This window comes from Homo sapiens, chromosome 5 (assembly GCF_000001405.40).
Source record: "Homo sapiens chromosome 5, GRCh38.p14 Primary Assembly".
Taxonomy (NCBI): domain Eukaryota; kingdom Metazoa; phylum Chordata; class Mammalia; order Primates; family Hominidae; genus Homo; species Homo sapiens.
The window spans coordinates 158,639,247-158,664,034 of record NC_000005.10 but is presented as its reverse complement, the minus strand read 5'-3'; the positions used below and the strand labels follow the sequence as shown (position 1 = coordinate 158,664,034).

At 38.9% G+C, this 24,788-nt stretch overlaps 1 annotated feature.

Annotated features, from left to right (window-relative positions):
• Positions 23,432 to 23,955: an enhancer, noted in NCBI's record as "OCT4-NANOG hESC enhancer chr5:158067088-158067611 (GRCh37/hg19 assembly coordinates)". NCBI's record gives its function as "activates a minimal SCP1, AML or CMV promoter by ChIP-STARR-seq in primed H9 embryonic stem cells {active_cell/tissue: H9 hESC(primed)}" and the evidence as "EXISTENCE:reporter gene assay evidence [ECO:0000049][PMID:30033119]".

Genomic DNA, 24,788 nt, shown 5'->3' with positions numbered 1-24,788 from the left:
TTTTATGTGCTTATTGGCAATTTGTATATATTCTTTCCTGTTGTTGTTGGAGACAGGATCTCACCGTGTTGTCTGGGCTGGGGTGCAGTGGTGCAATCATAGCTCACTGCAACCTTGACCTTCCAGGTTGAAGTAATCTTCCCACTTCAGCCTCCCAAATAGCTGTGACTACAGAAATGCGCCACCACACCCAGTGCTAATTTTTGCATTTTTTGTAGAGATGGGGTTTTGCCACCTTGCCCAGGCTGGTCTTGAACTCTTGAGCTCAAGAGATCTGCCTGCCTCAGGCTCCCAAAATGCTGGGACTACAGGCATGAGCCACTGCACCTGGCTGATTTGTATTATTCTTTGGAGAAATGCCTATGCAGATTATTTGCCTAATTTTGTCTTTTTATTGTTGAGTTGCAAAAACTTTTTAAATATTATGAATAGTAGGCAATTATCAGATACAGGATTTGCAAATATTTCTCCAGTTCTGTGAGTTGTCTTAAAATTCTTGATAGTTTCCTTTGAAGTACAGATAACCTCTGACTTATGATGGTTTGATTACAATTTTTTTACTTTCAGTAGATTTATCAAGATGTAATCCCATTGTAAGTTAAGGAGAATCTGAACATATGATGGTTCAACTTAAAATTTTTCAATTTTACAGTGGGTTTATTGAAGCATTAAAGGCATTTTTGATTTAAGATATATTCAACTTACGACAGTCTTATCAGGATATAATCTCATTATAAGTCAAGAATCATCTGTACAAAAGTTTTAAATTTTGACGAGGTCCAATTTAGCTATTGTTTTCTTTTGTTACTTGTGTTTTAAGTGTCATATATGAGGCACCATTGCCTAATCTATGGTCAAAAAGATTTATACCTTTGTTTTCTTCTAAGAGTTTTGTACTTTTAATGCTTACCTTTAGGTCTATGATCTGTTATGAGTAATTTTTGAATATAGTGTAAGGTAGGAATCCATATTTATTATTTTGTATATGAAAGATTATATCTCAGGACATATTCATTTATTGAAAAGACTATTATTTCCCCATTAAATTGTTTTGTTATCCATGTCAAAAATCAATTGACCATGAATGTGAGGATTAATTTCGGTATTTGAAGTTTCATTCCACTGTTCTACATGTCTGTCCTTAAACTGGTACCCTGCGATCTCAGTAACTATTGATTTGTAGTAAGTTTTGAAATTGGGAAATGTGAATCCTCCAACTTTGTTCTTCTTCAGGATAGTTTTGACTATTCTGGATTATTTGCATTTCCACATGAATTTTAGATCAGCTTGTCAATTTTTGCAAAGTAGCTGAGATTTTAATAATGATTGCATTGAACTGATCAATTTATGTGCTATTGCTAACTTAAAAATAGTTGCTTTTCCAAAACATGAACATATATAACCATCTATTTAGATCTTTAACTTCTTTTAACAATGTTTAATAGTTTTCAGCATACGAGACTTGTTCCTCTTATATTAAATGTATGCCTAAGTATTTTTTTATGCTACTGTAAATAAAATTGTTTTCTTAATTTTATTTTCAGACTGTTGTCAGTGAATAGAAATACAGTTGATTTTTGTGTATTAATCTTGTATCATTGCAATGTTGCTGAACTTATTTAATAGCTATCCTCCTCATTTACTCCTAATTAAAGCTCATTTACATTTTAGCTATAAACTAATATATATTCAATGTATTTTTTGGTAAGATTTATGCCTGAAATTTTGCTGTTTGCTTTCTATATGCCTTTTTTGGTTATTCCATTCCTCAGTTATTGCCTTTTTTCTGTTAAAAAGATATTTTCTTATTCATCTTTTTAAATTCCTTTGTTGTTTACTATTTTTTAAAGTTATTTTCTTAGTAGTTGCCCTGGGATTTACAGTTAACATCTTAACTGATAACAGTCTAGTTTTAATAGCAACTTATTTCAATGTTACATAAAAACTTTGCTCTTATATAGCTGTTGCACTACTCCTTTATGCATTTACTGTTATATAAATTTTATGTTTATATATTATGTATCTGTAAATATAAATTTTTAGCTATGCTTGATGGAGTTGTTTTTTACGTCATATAGAAGAAAAAAAGGAGTTACAAAAATATACTTATATTTTCTTTTATATTTACTTATGTAATTATCTTTATCAGTGAACTTTATTTCTTCATGTGGATAAAGGTTACTGTCTAATGTTCTTTTATTTTAGCCTGAAGGACTGCCCTTGTAAAGTATGTCTGCTAGTGATGAATTGTACTAGATTTTGTTTATCTTGGAATGTCTTTATTTCTCCTTCAATTTTGAAAGAAGTTTTGCTGGATATATAATTCTTAGTTGACATTTCTTTTCTTTCAGCATTTTGAATATGTCATCCCACTGTCTTCTGACCTCCAAAGTTTCTGACAAGAAAGCTATTATTAATCTTACTTAGAATTATTTGTACATGACAAGTCATATCTATCTTGCTGCTTTTAAGATTCTCTCATTGTCTTGGGCTTTCTACAGTTTGATTATGGTGTCTTGGTCTTGGTGTGGATCTCTTTGAGTTTATCCTGCAGGAGTCTGCTGAGCCACTTGCATGTATACATTAATATTTGTCATTCAAATTGAGAAGATTTTGACCATTATTTCTTTAAATATTTCTTCTGCTTCCTCTCTTTCTGGGATTCCCATTATGTATTTGTTGGTATACTAGATGGTAACGCTCAGGCTTCTGACACTTTACTTATTTTTGCTTATTATTTTTTCTTTCTGTTCTTCAGACTAGATAATCTGAGTTGATCTGTGTTCAAATTTCCCAATTCTTTCTTTCACCGGCTCAAATCAGTGGTTGAGCGCTTTAGTAAAATTTTCATTTTGATTATTGTGTTTTTCAACTCTAGAATTTATATTGTGTTTTTACTATAATTTTTCTTTACTGATGCTATTTGGTAAGACATTGTTTTCATACTTTAGTTATTTAGATGTGGCTTTCTTTCTTAAATGTATTTGAAACAGCTGATTTAAAATGTGTCTAAGGTTGGGCATGCTGACTCATGACTGTAATCTCAGCATTTCAGGAGGCTGAGGTGGTAGTAGGATTGCTTGAGCCTGGGAGTTTGAGACCAGCCTGGGCAACATGACAAGATCCCATCTCTGTAAATAGTTTAAAAATTAGCTCAGCATGGTGGCATGCATCTGTGGTCCCAGCTACTTGGGGGGCTGAGGTGGGAGGATCACTTGAGCCCAGGAGGTGAGGCTAAAGTGAGTTATGATCATGCCACTGCATTCCAGCCTGGGTGACAGAGCAAGACCCTATCGCAAAAAAAAAAAAAAAAAAGAAAAGAAAAAGAAAAAGAAGTTCTTGCCTAATAAGTACAATATCTGGGCTTTTTTTTAAGAGACAGTTTATATATATTGATTCCCTTTTTCCTATGAATGGACCATATTCTCTGATTTCTTTGCATGTCTCATAGTTTTTGGTTGAAAAGTAAACATTTTAAGTAATACAATGTAACAACTCTGGAAATCATATTCTTTCACCTGCTTAATGTTTATTATTGTTTATTTAAATGACTTTTCTGAACTAATTCTGTGAAGTCTCTATTCTTTATTGTACATGAACACTGAAGTCTCTGCTCAGGTAGCCTGGTGATAAGCTAAAAAATTAGACAGATTTTCTTAAATAGAGATAAGTAACTCTGTATGTGTTCAGCATGCCTTCAACACTCAGCAAGCAGTTGACAACTCTGCCTTAGTTTTCACTTTCTACTTGCACAGAACCTCAAGGTCAGTCTGAGATTAGAAATTAGAGTCTTCTTAGATCTTTCCTGAACACTTACAAAGCCCTATGCATGCATATAGGCTTTCAGATTCCCAGGAATATGTCAGATCTTTTGAAAGCTCTTATGGACATCTCATTATCTAGATCTTCCTTTTAAGCTTTTCAGTTAGCCTATTGTTTGCCCCAACTTTATTCAACTCTTCAGGCAGTCATGATGTTAATCAGTTGCTTCTATTTGTTTTTGACAAATGCCCCCCAGGTAAAAGACTTTTCACATGGCCAAGAACCCAATCAGGTTAAACAAAGACAAACTTCCAAGTGGGATCTTCCATAGAATCACCAGACAGAGCAAATAATAATTCTCTGGGAATGAGGCTTTGAAAGAGCTACAACCCTATTATTCTTCCTTCAGTGACTACCAGCCCATTGTGGGCTGTTAGTTTTCAAGGCTACCACAGAGCTGGGTAGATGGGTGGGATATGGGAGTAGGGCAACCTAAAGTGCCACAAAGCTCATTGTTCTTACTGAGATGCAGTCTTTTTTTTTTTTTTTTTTTTTTTAAGAGCTCTTTGGATTCCCGTAAGCCTTTGCTTAATTTCTACCTTTCTAAAAAATTGAACCTGACAAGTTTTGCCTGTTTTGCCCATTTTTCCATTACTTTTGTGGAAGAAAAAGTCTTGGAAGCCTTTACCCTACCATTTTGACCAATGCCATTCAATATGTCTTTTTAAATTTAATTCCTCTTCACAATCCCATGAAGCAATATAGTAATTAGTTGAGTTTACAAATTATGAAGCTAAGACTTAGGAGATTAAGTAATCTGCATGGCGTACAGTTAGTAAATGGAAGGGTTGGGATTCAAACTCTTGTTTATTGAACTTAACAGCCTGAATCCAACAGGACACTCACTAGCAAAGGAAGGTGACAGCAAACAAACATTTCAAACTTTTGCCTTCTTCCCCAGGGATCTGGCACTTCAGGCAGTATAGTAAGGTTTAAAGAGTCACTGGCATGAATTTAAATATAAAAAAGAGATTATATTACCACTTCTCTTCTTAAAGCCCAGAAATCCAAAGATTCTGCCTACGGAAATAACATGTTCTGAGACCCTGAAAAATTGGTGTCACATAAGAGACAGTATACTAGAAAATGATATCTTATGGCACTCTTAGAAAAATGCCAAAAGGCCTAAACTACCGTGTCCTTCCTAGGGCAGCTTCCTTCACAGCAGGAAGGGCCCCCTGCTGTGTGAGCTGAATTCCATGAGTAAGCCTTTTTAGCTTAAAAGACTGTCAAATAAATGTTTGTGCCATTTACTCTCTTCCAACTCCATGATCATATAAAACAATAGCCGGGACTATACCAATTTAAGAAAGAATATCCTTTCTTGAGTGCTCAATCCCCAGAAGGATTGTTTTGTTATTTTTGTCACCAGAGTCTGTGGACACATGGAGCTCCATTTTTCAAGTGAGCAATGAAGAAAGGACTAACAAGTGGTCCCAGATTCCCTCATATGAAAACAATAACACACTCTGTAACTTGGAGGTCTGGAGGTTTATGTTGGCACTAATTGGAATGCTAATGCGCAATGAGTCTGGTCTCTCCTCTCAAACACTAACAAACACAAGTCATTTCCTACTGATTGGTTTCAACCTAACAACCATTTTCTTGAGCCCAAAAGAAAATTTTATTTTAGATGATTTAGATTATGTTGATTACTCACTTATGAGCCATACGTAAGTTGGTCAATGAAGAACAGATTGCTACAACTTGTTTTCTGAAGAAACTCCTCCACCCACTTACCACCACCACCACCCAGGATTAACTCTCAAACAAGAATGATATCATGTGAAAAGGAATCTAGAGCTTCCCTAAATACTTCATAAGCTTTGGGGTATCAGAGACCCTTTTGAGCATATGATAAGAGCTACGGGCTCTTGTGAAATGGTCCTACTGATAAAACTGTATTTTTATCTCGGGGCTTCTGATCTCTCTAAAAGCTCATACGTTACTGAGAACCTTTCTATGGTGGGTCTTTGATGTAGTGCGACTAAAGTCTTGGCCATCTCACACAGTACATCTCACTGACTGACTGGAACTCTCCACCTACCAATTTCCAATTCTGCTTTGGCTCCAGAATTTGGCATATAAAGATGAACCTGGAACATCATTTCTGGAAGACCGTCATCAATCATGGAAGCAGATTCCTTTGGAGAGTGTAAAGTATAATGGACCAAACTGTGGCTCCAGCAATGTCATGGAATCACGTTGATTCTTACATATGTGTGTGATTGCTGTTCTCAAAGAGTTTTTAAAAAATTGATATATAAAATATTAATACAGGAATTAGGGAACAGGAAAAAAGAAAAGCAAATTGCAGGTCATTTTAAGTGTGAGTAAAATAAAGTTATAAGACAGCAATATTTTTAGTTGCTTTTTTGCACTGCCAAATATAGAAATACAAGGATTGCTTACAAGTATAGTTATCTTCTTTAACTGTCTTCAGTTCAGTAGGCACTGTTAATATCAGTTGAGGAGCAGACCACGTGATCAGCACTGGACTGCAAGGTGGTTGAGACCTTTAAGAGCTTACAGTCTCATAAGAAGCCAACAGGTAACCTTATATAGTACTAGGTTTGGTCTCGGTAATAGTAATACACAATAGGGCTCTGGCAGCACAGACAAAGGTGCATGGTTCATCTGGGCAGAGTGTGAGTGAGGAAGGTGGTAGGGGAGGAGTTAGGGGAAGCCCTTGGGAAGATATGAAGGCTCCGACTATAGAAGGAAGAATATCATGTCAAGCATTCTAAGGATGAAGAACAGGATTTCCAAAGGCACAAAGCAGGGAGGTATGTAAGGGTCACTGCGAGTTGTGCAGTTTGACTGGGGTTTGATACATGACTAGGGAGACAGGGTTAGAATGGGACTGAAGAGGTTATCAGGGTGGCTGGACCACAGATGGTCTTATTTGCCTATCTGGGAAATATGTCTTTTCCATGAAGCTGTGGGAAACTGTGTGCACTGGGTAGTGGTTTGAGCAGGCTGTGTTTTGGATGGTAAACTCTGGCTGCAGCAAGGGAGACATATTTAAGGCAGAAGTAGAAGCAGTAGGGTGAGAAGCGCTAAAGGCCTGCACTGGGGAAATGGTTTTTAGGGCAGAGAGAAAAAGACTACCTCAGGGAAATTTTCTGATAAAGAATTGCTAGGACTTTGTGGTTGGCCAGATGTTGCAATGAGGGAGATGGCAGAGAAAGGATGGACAAATGTGGAACCTGAACTAAGAGATACTATATGGGATAAGGAACACTTGGTATAGGATGGAGAAGATGCTTCATTGAGTTTGAGGTGCAGATAGAGACACCTTGTAAATATCAGAATGAATCTAAGGATAATGGTTAAAATTTTGTGAGTGAAAGATCTCTCAATGGAAATATGTAGGAAATTAGAGTTCTTGATATTTTGGAGTCATATACTTTTTTTTTTTTTACAACTAACAAAATTTAAACATTTAATTCATACTTAGCGAATGCTATAATTTTTTTGTAATATAATAGATATGGGACTGTTTTAAAGGGTCATCTTATTCCAACCTTTAATTAAACAAAAAGCAAAATCTAAATAAGTAAAAATGACATCTCAACATAGTGGTATAGGGTTCAAAACATTCTAGTTGGAAATGGAACCATACTTCCCATTCTAGAAAAAACTGTTTTCTTGGAGTCATATACTTCTCAAAGAATATGAAGTAAAAGATTGACTTGCACCCCAGGAAAGTACCCATGGGCATGCACACATTTGATTTAACTTATAACCTTAGGGGGTCATAGAGCTGGATTCACATCTTCCATGAAAAGCAAGAGTAGCATCCTATGACTGGAGGTAGGGCGTACTGGATTCAAGTTTCTGGCTCATGTATCAATCAAGTTAGAAGGACTTGGGAAGGCCATCTGATCTTGGAATAGGGAAAATAAATGAGTAAGGTTTAGTGATCACGAGTACTCCCTTGGTTATGAGGCTCTAGAGAATAGAAAATCACTGAACTCAAAAGCTGCCTCTCCTTTCCTCTCCCTCATAAGTCTAATTTTTCTGCCTCCCTTCTCACACCCCTATCTCTCTGACAGAGGCACAATGACAAACTCATTTTCCAAATGTGAGTAGTGATCAGATGCTATTTGAGTTCTTGTCCAACATATGGTTGTGTAGAATAATTGTTCAGAGGAATTTTTATACTCAATATTTCTGCTACTTCTATAACCTGCCCTTAAATTTTAGATCTTGCTGGGGAGTGGGGAAGGGCTGAGTAAGGGAAGAAATGATAGATACGCCTAAGATCACAAAGGAATTCAAGGAGATCATTCTGGTCACTGGCTGGTTCATTTTCTAGCTAAAGACCATAGTACTTTAATGCAAAGATCCATGAAAACATGTCAAAACAGAACTAAAAGTGAATTAAGTGAAGTATAATTTTCTATTATTATTATTGAAATTTTGTTAAGTAATAAACAGCCTCATTATTAGTATGACAATTTGTGGCTTCAAGATAAAAGAGGAAGAGAAAGATCAAGAAATACATGTTTCTTGCAATTTATCATTAACAAAGCTTGACCTTTACTTATTTTGTTATTTTTGTTGGCTTCTCCATCTCGTTAGAAAGGTACAGTTGTTTTTGATATATATTCATGTCCCTAAAAGATCCACAGGGACAAAGAAGAAACTACATTTATTGAACACCTACTGTAGACCAAGAATAGTGCTACATAAACGTTCTTTAATATTCAAAGGAAATTTAGAAGTATCATCATCCACATTTTAAAGATGATAAAAGATAAGTGAGTTTGGGGGGATAAAAAAGAGAGAGGAATGTATAATTGTCATTGTGACCAAAACAGCCACAATAACACGACAACTAGTCATTATATATTGAACACTTGTCTTATGCAGGCTCTGCATTAAGTGCTCAACAATCATTGGCACATTTAACTCTCATTACCCCCATCTTATGACACAAATTTTTACTACTCACAGTAGAAATGAGAAAAGCAATTCTCAAAGGACTTGTCCACAGTCACATGGCTTTCTGGTGCTAGACCTGGGATTCAGAGAATAAAGGGTCACTGATGCACATGTGTACATTTGTGTGGTGTGGGGTGGCCATAGTCCCCATGTGTTCTCAAACCCACCTCTGAATTGAAAGGTGAAGAGCATCGTAAATCATGAAAACCATCCAGGATGTCTCTTCTAACTATTGCTGCGTGTCCTTTTAGCACAGATTTTCATTTTATTGTCATGCCATAGCCTCAAATGTATTCTTGAATTGGATGCTGTTATTTTCAGTCAGTAGAGATAGTATGGGTGAAGCTATCAAAGCATTCTCATTCCAAAGGCTCCCAGACACACAGCTAACACATGGGAGATGTACCACCAGAAATGGGAGGCATGTGAGAATTTGCAGAGAAAACCTATACTCTCAGAATCAGAAGGACTGCTGTCTTAACAAACTGGGCAAAGCAGACTATGTTTCTTTCCTATCAAACTTTCAGTGGCTCCCTATTGCCCAAGGGAACAAAGGTCAGTGTTTTGTTAATGTGTTAACAAAACACATTAGGCCTTCGGTATTTGACCCACTGTCTATTTGGGCCTCACCACCTTCTCTTCCCTATCTCCCTTTTCCCATGCATGGGTCATCTTTTTATACAAAGTTGCTGGGAAGTCTCTGAACATGACCTCAACTTTGAAGGCCTTTGCACATACTGTTCCCTCTGCCTGGAATGCACACTTGCATAACTCACCTGGAGACAGTTGGCTGCCTTCTCCTTTGTGCTACCATAGCATTTTGTTGTGCTATTTCTAGAGCACATTTTCATCTGCCTGAGAGTTCTCTGTGTGTCTTTTATTCTTACCTAAACCTGTAAGTCTGGCACATTGCCTGGCATACAGTAGAAGTTTAACAGATTTTGAGTGAATAAATGCATGGGTAAACAATATTGAGTTAAGTAGGGACTTGTGACAGGCTGTCCATAGACCACAGTGTAAAGTAGAACAATTCTGATATCAGCTTCTATAATCTCCAACTTAATTGCTCAAGAGGGACTGAAAATAGTTAGCATTTGTGTATTCATCCTACATACATTTATAAAGTGCCTTCTCTGTTGGGTGTTGTTCAAGGAGTCTTATAGCAGTGAAGAAGATAGATTAAGCTTAAGTTCTCATGTAGCTTATGTTCTGATTGGAGAAGAAGTCAGACAAATCAACAAAACAAGATTCTCTCCAGTTAAAATAAGTTCTATGAAGAAACTGAAGCTGAGTAGAGTGCAATAAAACATGATGCTATGAACTGAATTGTGTGCTCCACAAATTCACATGTTGAAGCCCTAACCCACAACGTGATGGCATTTGGAGGTGGGGCCTTTGGGAGGTAATGAGATTTAGATGAGGTCATGAGGGTGGGGCCCTTACCATGGGACTAGTGACCTTATAAGAAAAGACAGAACTTGCTTTCTCTCTCCATCATTTGAAGATACTGCCATGGCCATTTGCAAAGAAGGAAAAGAGAGGGTTCCCACCAGAACCTGACTATGCTAGCACCCTGATCTCAGGCTTTCAGACTCCTGATCTGTGAGAAAACTCATTTCTGTTGTTTAAGCTATCCAGTCTGTGACATTTTGTTGTGGCAGCCTGAATTGACAGAAACACATGGGCCTGCCATTTTAGATTGGATGGTGTGGGAGGGACTATGTGAAAGGCTGATATTTGAGCTAAGACCCAAATGTTGAGAAAAAGGCAGTCAAGTGTAGATCTGGGACGAAGGAATAAGTTTTTGAGTAAGAGGGGTGTGTAAGGAAGGCTTGCCGTTTGTAAAATTATGGCACAATCAAAATTGGGCGTCAATTTCTCTCTCCTCCCTTTCTCTCCCACCAGTGTCCACCAGTAATGCTTCATGCCCAGGAATCTAGTGTTTTTAACCAGTACCTCTGTCCCTTTGGGACCATCTACATGATCCTATCCTTCTCCCAAAACCATCTGGGCTTGGGATTTTCTTACATTTCTTTCTTCATCAAAACTTGCTTTTCCTGTGTCCCATTTCCTCCACAACTGATACCTGCTAATATATCTAAGAGATGTCAGTTATTCTTCCCAGATAACATCAGCATTGCACAGGGACACACCAGAGGCAACTTGATTCCAGACGAATGGCAGTGATGATGGGAATTCAAGAATCATGGTGGCCACTGAGCAGGTATTTTGAAGCAAACGAGTCTCTCTTACGGCACTCAAAGTATCCAGCATAGGTAGTTATATTTCCCCTGTCTGGGCTGGCTTCTTCAGCGTAGAGAAGTTACTGACTGCCTGGAATATACTTCAAATTGACACACTTGAGAAGAATAAAAGATCTCTATTTCAATTCCAAAACACTACTGAAAATGGAGCTAGGTTGTAATTTAGGGCAAATATTGACAATATCTCCAATAGATTTTATCCCAATATACCTATATATAAGCCTTGGTTGAATAATTCCTTGTTAAAGGATTTTAGATTAGAATCGGAGTTTTAAATGCTGAACCACAAAGGAGTTGTTGAAACCTCCATAAGCAGCTAAAATCTAGTTCTCACTTCACAAGAAATTTGGCCAAGGAAGATATTAAATAGAGTGGTGTCACCAGTCAGAGTTGATGAAATGCGAGCACAGAGATGGTACCTATCAAGAGGGAAATTAGAATAAATGAATATTAAAATATTTAAATCTATAATAATGTGTTCAAAACACAGTTCTGAAGAACGTTATTACTGGAAGTGAGAAACCAGTGCTAAGTCACTTACATTCTTTTCTAAGCAAGCTCCTTCCCTCCATTTCAACTCATTAGGATAATGTTAGCTTCAAGTGTAATGGTGTAATTTTAACTGTACTGTACACAAATTACTCTGGTTCTTGCACTGACAAGGTTTAGCAATAATCCCCCTTGGTACAGCGTTAGCAATTGCTACAATGCTAGAAAAACAAAAAAGAATGGGGCATTTAGAAATAAGAAATATATACTTAAGAAAACCAGTAGGTTATTTACCAAGGGCAGAGAAGAATGCTCTGCTTCTAAGTTCACTGGGTTTAGTGACTGCCTTCCTTAAAGCTTAAAAAAGTAAAGGGGATTTTGCCATTTCTGAAATGCCTTGGACACTACAATACCTCACAGAGTACAGTGTCATGAGAAACAGCATCATCCTATAGATCTTTGATTTTTACTAGTTAATCATCTAAAGGATAGACTTCTGTTACTAACCTGTATATACACACACCTACAAACACATGCTTCTTTGAGTGCTAAAGGTCAAATTTCTGCCACATATTATAGAGCAAATATATATTTTTAATGTTCAATGGCTACTATCCAGTTCTCTTGGTTAGAAAAATGGAGAAGGTAGTAACTTCCTCACAGATGTCTATGAGGATTAAATTAAGTAGTGAATGTCAACCACTTAATACAGTGCTTGCCACGCAGTGAGGACTTAATATTATAGAAGATAGCAGTCATTATTATTATTTGCTGCAAGGTGAACACAATGATTCTGTTATTTCTGTTATCTGAATGAGAATCCAGGACTCTGAAGCTCATGCATGTACATTATTACATTTAAACCTTAAAACCACCTATTCTAGTGCGATGGGTCAGCAAGAACACTCATTCTTCCAGATGGGGAAGGTGATACTCTGCAAGAATAAGCTACTTGCTGAGGGTGTTGTAGCTAGAATTATAGCCTGGATTGTCTAAATCCTAGTGACCCACATAGCCTCTTTTTATTGCTCCTCTCAATAACCTGGACTTGCAACTATCCATTCATTTATTCAATATATATTAAGAGCTTACCTTATATCAGATACTGCTCCTTACACAGAGGCCTCAGCAGAGAAGAAGACAGATCACATTCTTGTGGTCATGAGCTTACTTTCCTGTGGGAGTTTTGGACTAGATGGTTGAGACAGTGTAATTAATGTAATAAGAGATCTAGTGTTATGGGCTGAAATGTGGCCCCCTCCCACCCCATTCATATATTGAGTCCCTAACCCCCAGTAATGTAGAATGTGACTGTATTTGGAGATACATTGGGGTGGGCTTTAATCCAATCTGACTGATGTCCTTATAAGAGGAAATTTGGACACAGGACACCAGGAGCAAGAGTGCAGAAAAAAGAACATGTGAAGACACAGCAAGAAGGCAGCCATCTGCACTCCAGGAAAGAAAAACTTCGGAAGAAACCTTCATCTTAGACTTCCAGCCTCCAGCACAGCAAGAAAACACATTTCTGTTATTTAAGCTGCCTGGTCTGGTATTTCGTTATGCTCATCCTAGCAGGCAAAACCATCTCGTAAAAGAAGTTAATAAATAGTGTGGAAAACAGGCGAGGAAGTGAATACTAAGGATGATCAGGAGTGTTGTGGGGGTGCGTTGCAATATTCAACAGGGGGGTTGGCACAGGTTTCAATGGCAAGAGAAAATTTGAGCAAAGACTTGAAGACAATAAAGGAATTTGCTATGAAGATCCTTGGAGAAGGGCTTCCCAGTAGAGGGGACAGTTAGTACAAAGGTCCTGAGGTGGGAGTGTGCAGACATGGTAAGGAACCACTGTGAAGAAGAGTGTGGCTGGAGAAGAATGAGCAGGGGTGTGTAGGGGAAGTCAGAGAGGCAAAGCAAAGGGAGGGCCAGGTCAGGAAAGCCTTGCAGGCCACTGAAAGAGCTTTGATTTCTTCTCTGCATGAAATGAAGAACTGTTGCTGGATTCTGAACGAAGTGACGTGACCCGACATATTTTAAAAGGATCACTTTGGCTTCTGTGTTAAGAATAGACATAGGCTGTTGCAGTAATTCAGGCAAGAGATGACAGCAAGTTCAAACTAGAGTACTAGGCACGCAAGTGGTGATAAATGGTTAGATTCTGGATCTGCTGTGAAGGTGAAGCCAACAGGATTTCTTGATAGATTGGACAATGGGAGATGAGAGAAAAAGTAACGTCAAGGATGACTCCCAGGTTTTTGGCCTGAGCAAAGGAGAGGGTATCATTGCAATCATCTAAGATGGAGAAAGCCACAGGTAGAAGTGATTTGAAGAGGAGGATCAACAATTTAATTTTAGATGTATTGAGTTTAGAATATCAGACATTCATTCAAATGGAGATGTCAGGTAAGCAGCCTCATGTTGGTGTCTGATGTTGGGAAGAGAGCACTGTGCACTGTACCAGGGATATAAGAGACTAAGCCTGATTGGAGACAGGATGAAAACAAAGACTGATCCCTGGGGAACCCATCAGAGAGAAATCAGGGAGAAGTAGAAGAATCAGCAAAAGAGACTGAGAAGGAACACTGGTGTCTCCTGTTTCCTAGAAGCTGAGTGAAGAGATTGTTTTTAGGATGAAAGGTTTGATCAACTGTGTCAGATACTGCCAATAAGTCAAGGAAGATGAGTACTAAGAATTGAACTTTGGATTTAGCATGGAAGTCACTGGTGACCCAGAAAAAGAAATGTCTGTGGGCTTGTAAGGGAGATAGCTTGACTGGGGTAGGTTTGTGAGAGGGAAAAGAAAGGAATTAAGGACAGTGAAGAGAAGTAACTCTTCGGCCGGGTGTGGTGGCTCACACCTGTAATCCCAGCACTTTGGGAGGCCGAGGTGGGCGGATCATGAGGTCAGGAGATAGAGACAATCCTGGCTAACACGGTGAAACCCCATCTCTACTAAAAGTACAAAAACAACAACAACAAAAAATTAGCTGGGCGTGGTGGCAGGCGCCTGTAGTCCCAGCTACTCGGGAGGCTGAAGCAGGAGAATGGCGTGAGCCCAGGAGGCAGAGATTGCAGTGAGCCAAGATCGTGCCACTGCATTCCAGCCTGGGTAACAGAGCAAGACTCCATCTCAAAAAAAAAAAAAAAAAAAAAAGGAAAAAGTAATTCTTCAAGGACCCTTGATGTGAAGAGGAGCAAGAAAATGAGACAGTATTGGTGGGCAAGTTAAGTGAAGATTCAATATTTTCTGGAAAAATGTCTTTCCTTATAAGAAAATGGGAGAAATAACAGAATGTTTTTATTTCCATCAGAATAATCCAGTAGAGAGGGGGAAACTGATAAAGAGGAAGAGGAGAGAATAGCTGGGGTTATCGGAGGAGGGAGTGGGGATGGCATCTCATGGTCCTGATAGGCTTTCAGTAGAAAGGAGGGCAGTTAGTCCATGTGCCTGTGTAGCTGGGTTGAGGTAGGGCTAGGGGCTTCTGCTTGTTTCTATTTTTCTCAGTGAAGGATGAAGAAGCAGGATCAACAGCTGAGAGTGAAGCTGGAGAAGGGATGTTGAGGGTTGGAACTAGAGAAGGTATGATAGAGTAATATATTTGTTTGCATAGCAAAATACCACAAACTGGGTGGCTTAACCAAAATTTATTGTCTCACAGTCTTGGAATCTAGAAGTCTGATATCAAGAGGTTGGCAGTACTGGTTCCTTCTGGGAGCTGTGAGGAAGAATCTTTTCCAGACCTCTCCCCCAGTTGCTGGTGGCTTGCTGGCAACCTTTGGTGTTCCTTGGCTTGTAGAAGCACCACCTCTATCTGTCTTCATCTTCACATGGTGTTCTCGGTGTGTGTGTCTTCATGTCTGAATTTCCCCTTTTTATAAGGACACCAGCTGTCATAGATTAAGGCTCACCCTGCTGACCTTAATTTAATTAATTACAACTGCGAGGACCCTATTCCCAAATAAGGTCATATTCTGAGGTATTGGGGTTAAGGACTTCAATATATGGATTTTGGTGGGCGACACAGTTCAAACCTATCACAAGTGGCCACAGAGAGCAGAATAGTCTAGAAGTTTAGCGTATTTGCCTGGAAGCACCAAGAGCCATGTGACATTTGTGGTCATAATTCCAAAGTCAGTCCATTCAGCACGGGAGACCATTTTCTCCACCAACATTCAGTTGAATGGTGCGAGTATAAAGGAGAAAGAAAATTGGATTTAACCAAGGTTGTGGTTTTACCTGATAACAGCAGCAAGGGATTCAAGGATATACATCATTAAGTGATTATTATAATTTACCAAAGAATTGAAGTGAGGTAGGGAGGAAAGATGGGATTTAAGTGGTTAAGGGACAGAGAAAAGTTTAATTTAGGATCAATGGATTGGAGTTCCTGGTGGAGGTGAAGATGATTGAAGTTGGGGCACTTGGGGAAGTTGGAATATCAGGAGATAAGCAGAAAGGGAGGTGCACAAAACCAAAATAAAATGGTGTTTGATTTTTGCTGATAATGAGGTCCAAGGTATGGCAAGGGAGTGAGTGGCTGAGCTGGAGAAGTGGACAAGGTCGTTGGAAGAGCAGAGGTGACATTATTGAGAAGCCAGTGTCTTAGAAGGAACAGCTATGTACCCATTGAAATTATAAAGTTTTCATTAATTAATTAACTCATTCATTCATTCAATTATACATCTGTCAGCCATGAAAGAGAATAGAACCCTGTTAAGAACAAGGATCATGAAACCCAACAGGAGAGGCACTGCTAAGCCCAGCTGTCCCTAGCTGAGCTTAGAAGATGGTCTTAGGCTGGCCTATTGCTGGGTAATTATGGGAGTAGAAAAAGAAAAACAACTTCTGTGAAGCTAACTCTGAAACTCCTTTGAAACTCAAATAAACAATTAACCCAGAGGAAAATAAAAACTTCATATTCTAAATATCCTTCACCGCTTGGTTTAGAAATTATTGTTATTTGGTCTCGTCAGTAGCTTACACCCATTGTGTTGATATGTGTGTTTCCTGGGGATTCTACACACTCCAAAATCTGAAGAGTAAGCAAAAATAGTGCTTCTGCTTAAACCCTTCACAGTTTATAGCCACATTTACATAACATTAAATAAGTCAACAAAGGCATCATTAGCTCCCATTAAAATATGAGCAAAGAAATTTAAACGAACAAGACAGGCTAATTGGTAAGTAATGTTGTGTATCAAAAATTATGACTGTAAGATACCCCAGTTAATGAGAAGCCCTACAATCATGTTTACTACATATTTAAAAATTAAATGAAGGTGAATAAAAGTTAAGAGAAAAGAAGATTTTTCCCTTCAAGGATGCTATTATATCTGTTTTTCAAAGTTAAAACTGCTAAGGGTAATTTTAGCCATTTACCTTGACAAAAGAGCTCTTTATAATTTATATAATTTTACCATTTTGGTTCTCCTTGGGTCATAAACAGGGAAGCCATGGACAGGGTAGAGGGAAAGGGCAGAAGTCTTGATTTATACCCAGGAAGAGGTCTTAGTTTTCTCTCGGGCCTTGGTCATTAGAGGAACTCTTTCCTCCCTTAAACTATGGAGGCTATGGGCCCAATCCTAAGCAAAGTGTGCCCTTCAAGTCAGCTGTAGGAAACGATGTGTTCAACCACTCCACTTCATGTCTGAATGACAGTGGCTCCTAGTGCTGTCTGCTTGAAAGATCACCTGGGGTGAAACTAAAAATGCTGATGCATAGGCCCCACTACAGAACAATTAAATCAGAATCTCGGAGGGGGTCCAGACATCTGTATTTTAGAAAAGCTTCCTCATTGATTCTAAAGTACAGCCAAGGTTGAAAACCACTGCCCTAGTGCTCTTTCTACCATTTACTGAATGACCACTATATACTAGGCTCTCTGCTAGGAACATATGCAGGCTAGTTTATACTTCATTTGATATGATTGTAGTTTCAGACAGCCGAGGCATTAGTAGCAAATATTTGGGAGGAGAGGAAAAAAAAAAAAGGAGGTCTTCCTGGCATCCCTTAGGGGATTCAGAATATCTGCAAGTCAAGCCGAGATCTAACCGTGTGATGTTGGCATGTTGTGATCAGTGAATGTGGGATAGAAGCTGTCTTGGTGTCCCAGGCAACACAGGGTCCAATGTACTCCGTGTGTGTGTGCACACGTGTGTGCATGTGTGTTGAGAGAAGATGTGGTCTTGACACTTTGTTTAGCTCAAGACACTAACTTTATTTGAAAGTAGAGGACTTCCTTTATATATTTCTCCTGGTCAGCACAACTCTGCAATAATAGCTAAGACAGCTGACTCTTCCCGATAAAACACTGAAAAAGACCTAAGAGAAACCACTTTATAAATTGTATTAATTGCCTACTCCTTAACCCCAAATCCAGCTTTCTGGGTCCTTAGAGTCTCCATTTTTGGGTTTGTCTATGGGGAATATTTCTAGAAAGCCAATGTTATGGGAATCAAGGCCTTTAGATGCTAATGGCAAGAGGAAATTGCTCTTGCTTCTGAACTCTGAAAAGAAATAATTTAATAAACCATAAAGGTTTTTTTTTTTAACTTTTAGGTTCTAGGGTACATGTGCACGTTCATTACATAGGTAAACTCATGTCACAGGGGTTTGTTGTACAGATTATTTCATTGCCCAGTTACTAAACCTAGTACCCAATAGTTATTTTTTCTTTTCATCTTCTTACCACCCTCCACCCTCAGGTAAGCCCCAGTGTCTATTGTTTCCCTCTATGTGTCTCATTGTTTAGCTCACACTTGTAAGTGAGAACATGCAGTATTTGGTTTTCTGTTCCTGCATTAGTTTGCTTAAGATAATGGCCTCCAACTCCATCCATGTTTCTGCAAAGGACATGATCTTATTATTTTTATGGCTGTTTAGTGTTCCATGGTGTATATGTGCCACATTTTCTTTATCCAATCTACCATTGATGGGCATTTAGGTTGATTCCGTGTCTTTGCTATTGTAAATAGTGTTGCAATGAACACTCACATACATCTTTAAGATAGAATGATTTATATTCCTTTAGGTATATTCCCAGTAATGGGATTACTGGTTTGAATGTTAGTTCTGTTTTCAGCTCTTTGAGGAATCACCACCTTGCTTTCCACAATGGTTGAACTAATTTACACCCCCATCAACAGTGCATAAGCGTTCCCTTTTCTTCATCGCCTCTCCCCATCTGTTACTTTTTGACTTTTTATTAATAGCCATTCTGGCTGATGTGAGATGGTCTCATTGTGGTTTTGATTTGCATTTCTCTAATGATCAAGTGATAGAGATTTTTTTCATAAGATTGTTGGCTGCATCTATATCTTCTTTTGAAAAGTGTCTGTTCAAGTCCTATGCCCACTTTTTAATCGCTTTTTTTTTTTTTTTGTAAATTTAAGTTCCTTATAGTCCTGGATATTAGACCGTTGGCAGATGCACAGTTTGAAAGTGTTTTCTCCCATTCTGTAGGCTGTCTGTTTACTCTGATAGTTTCTTTTGCTATGCAGAAGCTCTTTAATTAGATCCCACTTGTCAATTTTTGGTTTCGTTGTGAGTGCTTTTGGTGTCCTTGTCATAAAATCTTTACCCTTTCCTATGTCCAGGATGGTATTGCCTAGGATGTCTCCCTGGGTTTTTATAGATTTGGGTTTTACGTTAAGGTCTTTAATCCATCTTGAGTTGATTTTTTTAGATGGTATAGGGAAGGGGTCCTGTTTCAATATTCTGCATATGGCTAGCCAGTTACCCTAGCACCATTTATTGAACAGGGAGTCCTTTCTCCATTGCTTGCATTCATCAGCTTTGTCAAAGATTAGATGTTTGTAGGTGTGCTGCCTTATTTCTGGGCTCTCTATTCTGTTCCATTAATCTATGTGCCTGTTTTTGTACTGGTACCATGCTGTGTGGGTTACTATAGCCCTGTAGTACAGTTAACAATGTATCCAACTTGAAGTAAAAAGAAGCATTCTGTATTACAGTGCTAGGGTTATCTGCCTTTCCCTTCCATTTGGAAAATGACTCATGGGCTATAGCAACAGTAGAGCCTTATGTATGAAAACCCATAAATGACAAGTTTTTATTCTGTGGTTTCTGTTTCAAAGTCCCCTACCTAAAAATTTGTCTGAATTTGACTTTTTCCAAAATGATTTCCTATCCTTGAAATGGTCTTCACCCCAGATCTAACATGTCTCTCTCACTTCCTTTAAACTGCTCTAGAAATCCCAAATCCTTATAAAGACTTGATTTATTCACTGGGTCATTCAGAGGATATTGATGGAAATGCACTCTATGCTACATACTGAACCAGGTGCTGGGAATGTAGTAGTGAACAGAACAGTCATTGTCCTTGCTCTTAAGAAACTTGTATTCTACCAGGAAAGAAGATATTATGCAGGCAAGTTAACAATTATTTTCTTACAATTTTGATAATGCTTATGTGGAAGTCATCCAAGAAATGTTCCAAGTATATAACAGAAGAACGTGAGCCAGTCTTTGGGGTCTGGTGGAGTTGAGGTAAAGAGCTCCCTGAGGAAGTGTTAACTCAGATAGGAAAGACCACAAGCATGCATCTAACATAGCTGAGTGAAGAGAAAAAGTGAGAGCACTTACAGCAGAGTCAACAGCCAGTACAAAGGCCCTGAGGCAGAGAAAAAGAAAGCAATTTCCATGAATTGAAAACCAGGAGGAAGGGTATGACTGGAGTGAAATGAGCCACACTGTGAAAGACAGATGAGAGGTAGAAAGGGCCACATGCCAGACAGATGGCCATAGTAAGAAGCATATATTATAATTACACTGGGAACTTTTTGAAGGTATTATCGTAAGCAAGTGGTTGACATAATCAGATATGCATTAAAAAATTCACTCTGGCTGAACATAGAAGTAAAACTGGAAAGAAGTAGTGGCATTATCTGGGAAGACTATTTTGGAGATGATTGAAGTTACCTATTGGTGGGGATGAAGACCTGGGCTGGAGTGGGGGCTGTGGAGCTGAGAGGATGTGTCTGAGATTTATATAGGCTCATTCCCCGCTGCAGGTTCTTGTTTACAATGCCCAATCGACAATGAGATTCCCAATCACCTACTCAGAAAGCAGATTCAGGCCTTACCAATAAATAAATACAAATTGGCATGCCTGGGAATTGTATATATGGCCTGAAAGACTAAGAAAAAAAGATTCTTTTACATTAGCCAGCTGTACTTCAGAATAATACACAGACCTCTGTGAATCATTTCATGGTTTATTAAACAAAATTCTGTTTGCAATTGGCAAGTTAGGAAAATAAATGTCCATGTTTGTTTTCACTTTCTATTTCCTTGGTTTGTTTAGAGACACACAGCCCCATTCTCAGGGCTGTCCTTGGAGACCCATTAAGCAGACCTGCATCCCCACTTTGGAATGTCCCAGGGAAATCAGTGGCAGATTTCCATTCACTCCTATGAGAACAAAAGGGAATTCTTGATGTTGTTCCCATCAACAGAGAGGGTGTATGGGCTGCCTGCCAGAGCTAGCAGGTTACCAGCCTCTTATGTGTTATTGTTCTAGATTCTAACCCCTTGGACCATCTGCCTTTCTGAAACTGGGAGAATGCTGTGCATAATCTACCTGCAGAAGAGCTTTCCCTTTTCTAAGAAATAATACTCTACCACTATGAACTAAGCATGTCATTTGGGGTGTATGTGTATGTGTGTGTATTTTGGGGGAAGATTTATTTGGCTTAATTCGACTTGAGTGCCTGGTTTAGGGGTGGGGCAAGGAACTTGAACATGCATCAGAATCCCTTGGAGGACTTGTTAAAATACAGAGTGCTGGGCCTCATCTCCAGAGTTTCTAAGTCAGATCTGGGGTTGGGCCTGAGCATTTGCATTTCTAACGAGGTCCCAGATGATGCTGAAGCTGTTGGTCTGGGGACCATATTTTGAGAACCACTGGTCTATGTGATGCAGCCCACAGGTCCATTGTATTCAGTGAATAAACTATTTATCAAGGGCCTCTTGTGTGCCTGGCCCTCTACCTGCCTCTAGGTCCTTGAATATCCAGTTTCTTCAGCTTGGAGTTCTCCTCGAAACTTCCCTGCCCCACAAGGCTTAGTTTATCTAGTCCCTGAGGCATCACCCATGCTTTCTCTACCCCATGTTTATCTATTACATTGCGTGGCAAATGCCCTCCCTTGATAATAGGGTCTTCCTCATTCTTCTTGGTGCAAGAGTTGGCACATAGTAAGGGTTAAGTTAAATAAAATCAGTGCTTGGTAAATGAATGAATGACTGGTTCAGGATAGATCTCTGACCTGGGACACCTTGGCAGCATCTAGGATATTCACCTGGAACTGAATCATATTTCTATGGACATCATCATTCATTAGGGCTTCTAATATGTGCTCTACTTTATAGTAGGTAGGCATTATCTCTTGTGGGCAAAGATTTTTACATCCAATTATACCAAAGAAAATAGTCAAATATAAAATTACAATATAAGGATAACCTTTTCTGTTGATGGACATATCTAAAGTCACTAAGCATTGTAGGCTTCTGGAAGAAAAGGTCATCATTGCTCTGCACATATCAGGTGAATCTCTGATCTGATATGTTCATGGATTCATTGAATTCAGTTATTCATTCAAATTCTTATTTAAAATGCCAGTTAGGCTAGGCACAGGAGAATCTTAAAGTTGCAAGGAGACTTAGAGTTTCTTTACTGTAACCATTTTCCAGATGCTAGAATCCTCTCAAAACTTTTCCAGCCCAGATGGCCAACAACTACTTAAACACTTCTAGTAAAGAAGACTTGCTAACTCCAATGGTAGCCAATCTTTGAATCACTGCTGATAACCTTTCTTATATAGAGATCTCTCTCCTTGAAGTTTCTTCTATAGAACCTATTTTGCCCTCCTTCGGTAATGGAGCATGTTTAATTTCCCTTCCCCAGGGCAGCCTCGTTAGATAAGGGAGGTGGGTATGACACAGTGGGGCAGAGCACGGACACAGAAGCTGGATGCCCCAGCTTCAAATCCCATTTCCCAAATATATCAGTTAGTTAACCTTCCTATGACCCAGTTTCTCATCTCTAAAATGGGGACAATATACCTTAAATAATTGTTGTGAGGATTAACAAATTTATCGCGTGCAATGAAATTAGAACAAGGTTGGGCATATAACGACCAGTAATTAATATTAATTGTTGTTGTTACTTTTATTACTATTCTTTGCAAAAAGGTATCTTCTCTTGTCAATGTCCAACTAAGCATCCTTGTGTCAGCCAAGCATGACATCACCCAGCACTGACTGTTCTCATCTCCTTGATCTTTTCCAGACACACCTCCAGTGTATTAGATCCTTGTTATCATGGTGTTCAGAACAGAGCCTAACACTAGGGGCTGTTTGTCCCTCACAGGATAGAAATGGATTATCATCCCTTTTGTTTTGAATTCAGTTTGGTAGTAAGAGGAGTAATAATAAAAATATATTAAGTGCCTATTCTATGTAGATATTATGCTAGACTCTTTAAATACATCATTTCCCATTCTTAAAACAGTTGAGTGAGACAGGTAAGGTGCTTGCACAGGAGATCACTAAGGGATAGAGAATCCAGGATTCAAACAGATCTGCAGGCATCAGAGGGGACCTGCTTGTCATCCTCCATGCTGTTGCACTATACCCAGTGAATGTCCAAGAAATGACAGGGCCCCTGATCTAGCAGTCAGGGCAAAGCTGTAAAAATGAGTCACAAGGCTTGCAGCACTGCGTGGGAAGAGTGGTCAGATTACAGCCTTATTTATTCACCATTGCAATAGCCGTTCTCTCTCTGATCTTTTGCCCTGTTTCTTGAGTTAGGCAAAGAAAATCCTCTTGGGCAGAATATAATAAAGCCCTGAAACCATTTGGAGGACCAAGCCTGTTGCATTGCAAACACCAAGATGAGATAGTTGGTATCAAAAGAATGTAGTACATTGGGTGCTACTTCCTCCTACCATCCAGTTATTAATGGGTCATGCAATAACGATTTTTCCCATTACCAGATAGTTTGTAACAGTAACAGTAACTGCTGATCAGCACTGAATGTCATCTGCAAGGACTGTTGGGTGGATGAGCAGCAGCTGACATGCATTGGGCACTTGGTTCATGCCAGGCTGCCTGCCAAATGCTACACACTCATTTTCTCCTATGTCATGATAGCCCAGCAAGTGAGCCATCAGGGTTATTGTCTTTCCTGAATGAGGAAGCTGCGATTAGGCCAGGCATGTGGCTTGTCTCATACATACATATATACGGGAGGCTAGGGTTTGAATTCCAAGCTGTTTGAACCCCTTTGTTGCCACAATTCTATCTAGGAGCTGTTTCTACATATGTCTCATTTTCCTCTGACTAATGTCCAGGAGTGCCTTTCCTTCATACATGCATACATACCACTGCCACCACCACAATGAGGCCAGCTGGAAGCTGGTGGGGCTCTGTGGGGACTATGGAGGATGGCGGGTGTTCCTGTGGGGAGCACACAGCCACCACCCTGTCAGCCACAGAAAATTCTTAAGGAAAGGCTCAGCTCTCCCAAAACGGAAGGAGGTAAATACTAGTAAACACAACTCCATATCCACAGGAGGTGTGTGTTTTTACAAAGCATGGTCATGCATGTTAAATTATTACATTCCCACAGCTAGGGCCTCAGCTAGATCTGACTTTGGAACCCCCATTTTTATTTTCTTCCCTTCCTTGGTATCTTACTTTTCAAACTTTTCATTTAAAATAGAAATTTATGGAAATAAAGCTTGAACATTGTAGGAAAAAAGGGGGAATATAGATAAGCAAAGAGAAAAAATGCAAAGCTGTCCAAATCCTCCTTCCAAGGCAACCTCTATTAACATTTATTTTTTCCTAGACACTTTTACCCCCAAATACACACATACTTTTTTTTAAAGAAAGTGATATCATACATATTAATTCATGACCTGTTTTTATTTCCTCCACAATATATTATGCATGTGTTTCCATGTTAGCATTTGTGGTGCTCTCTAGAACCATTTTTAATGGCCCATTCTATCCCACTATTTTAATATCTTAAAGTTAGACAAACAAACCCTATTCTTTTTTTGCTCTCTCTCTAAAGCTATTTAGGAGAATGATGGGCCAGTTAAACGAAAACAAATAGCAAACATTTTTCTTCCCAATAGCCTTAGCCAGAACCTTAAATCTCCCTTCCCACCCCCACCCCTCACTGCCCAAATTCCACCTGGACACAAGACTGCCTAGAGAATGAGGTAGCTCCACCTGAG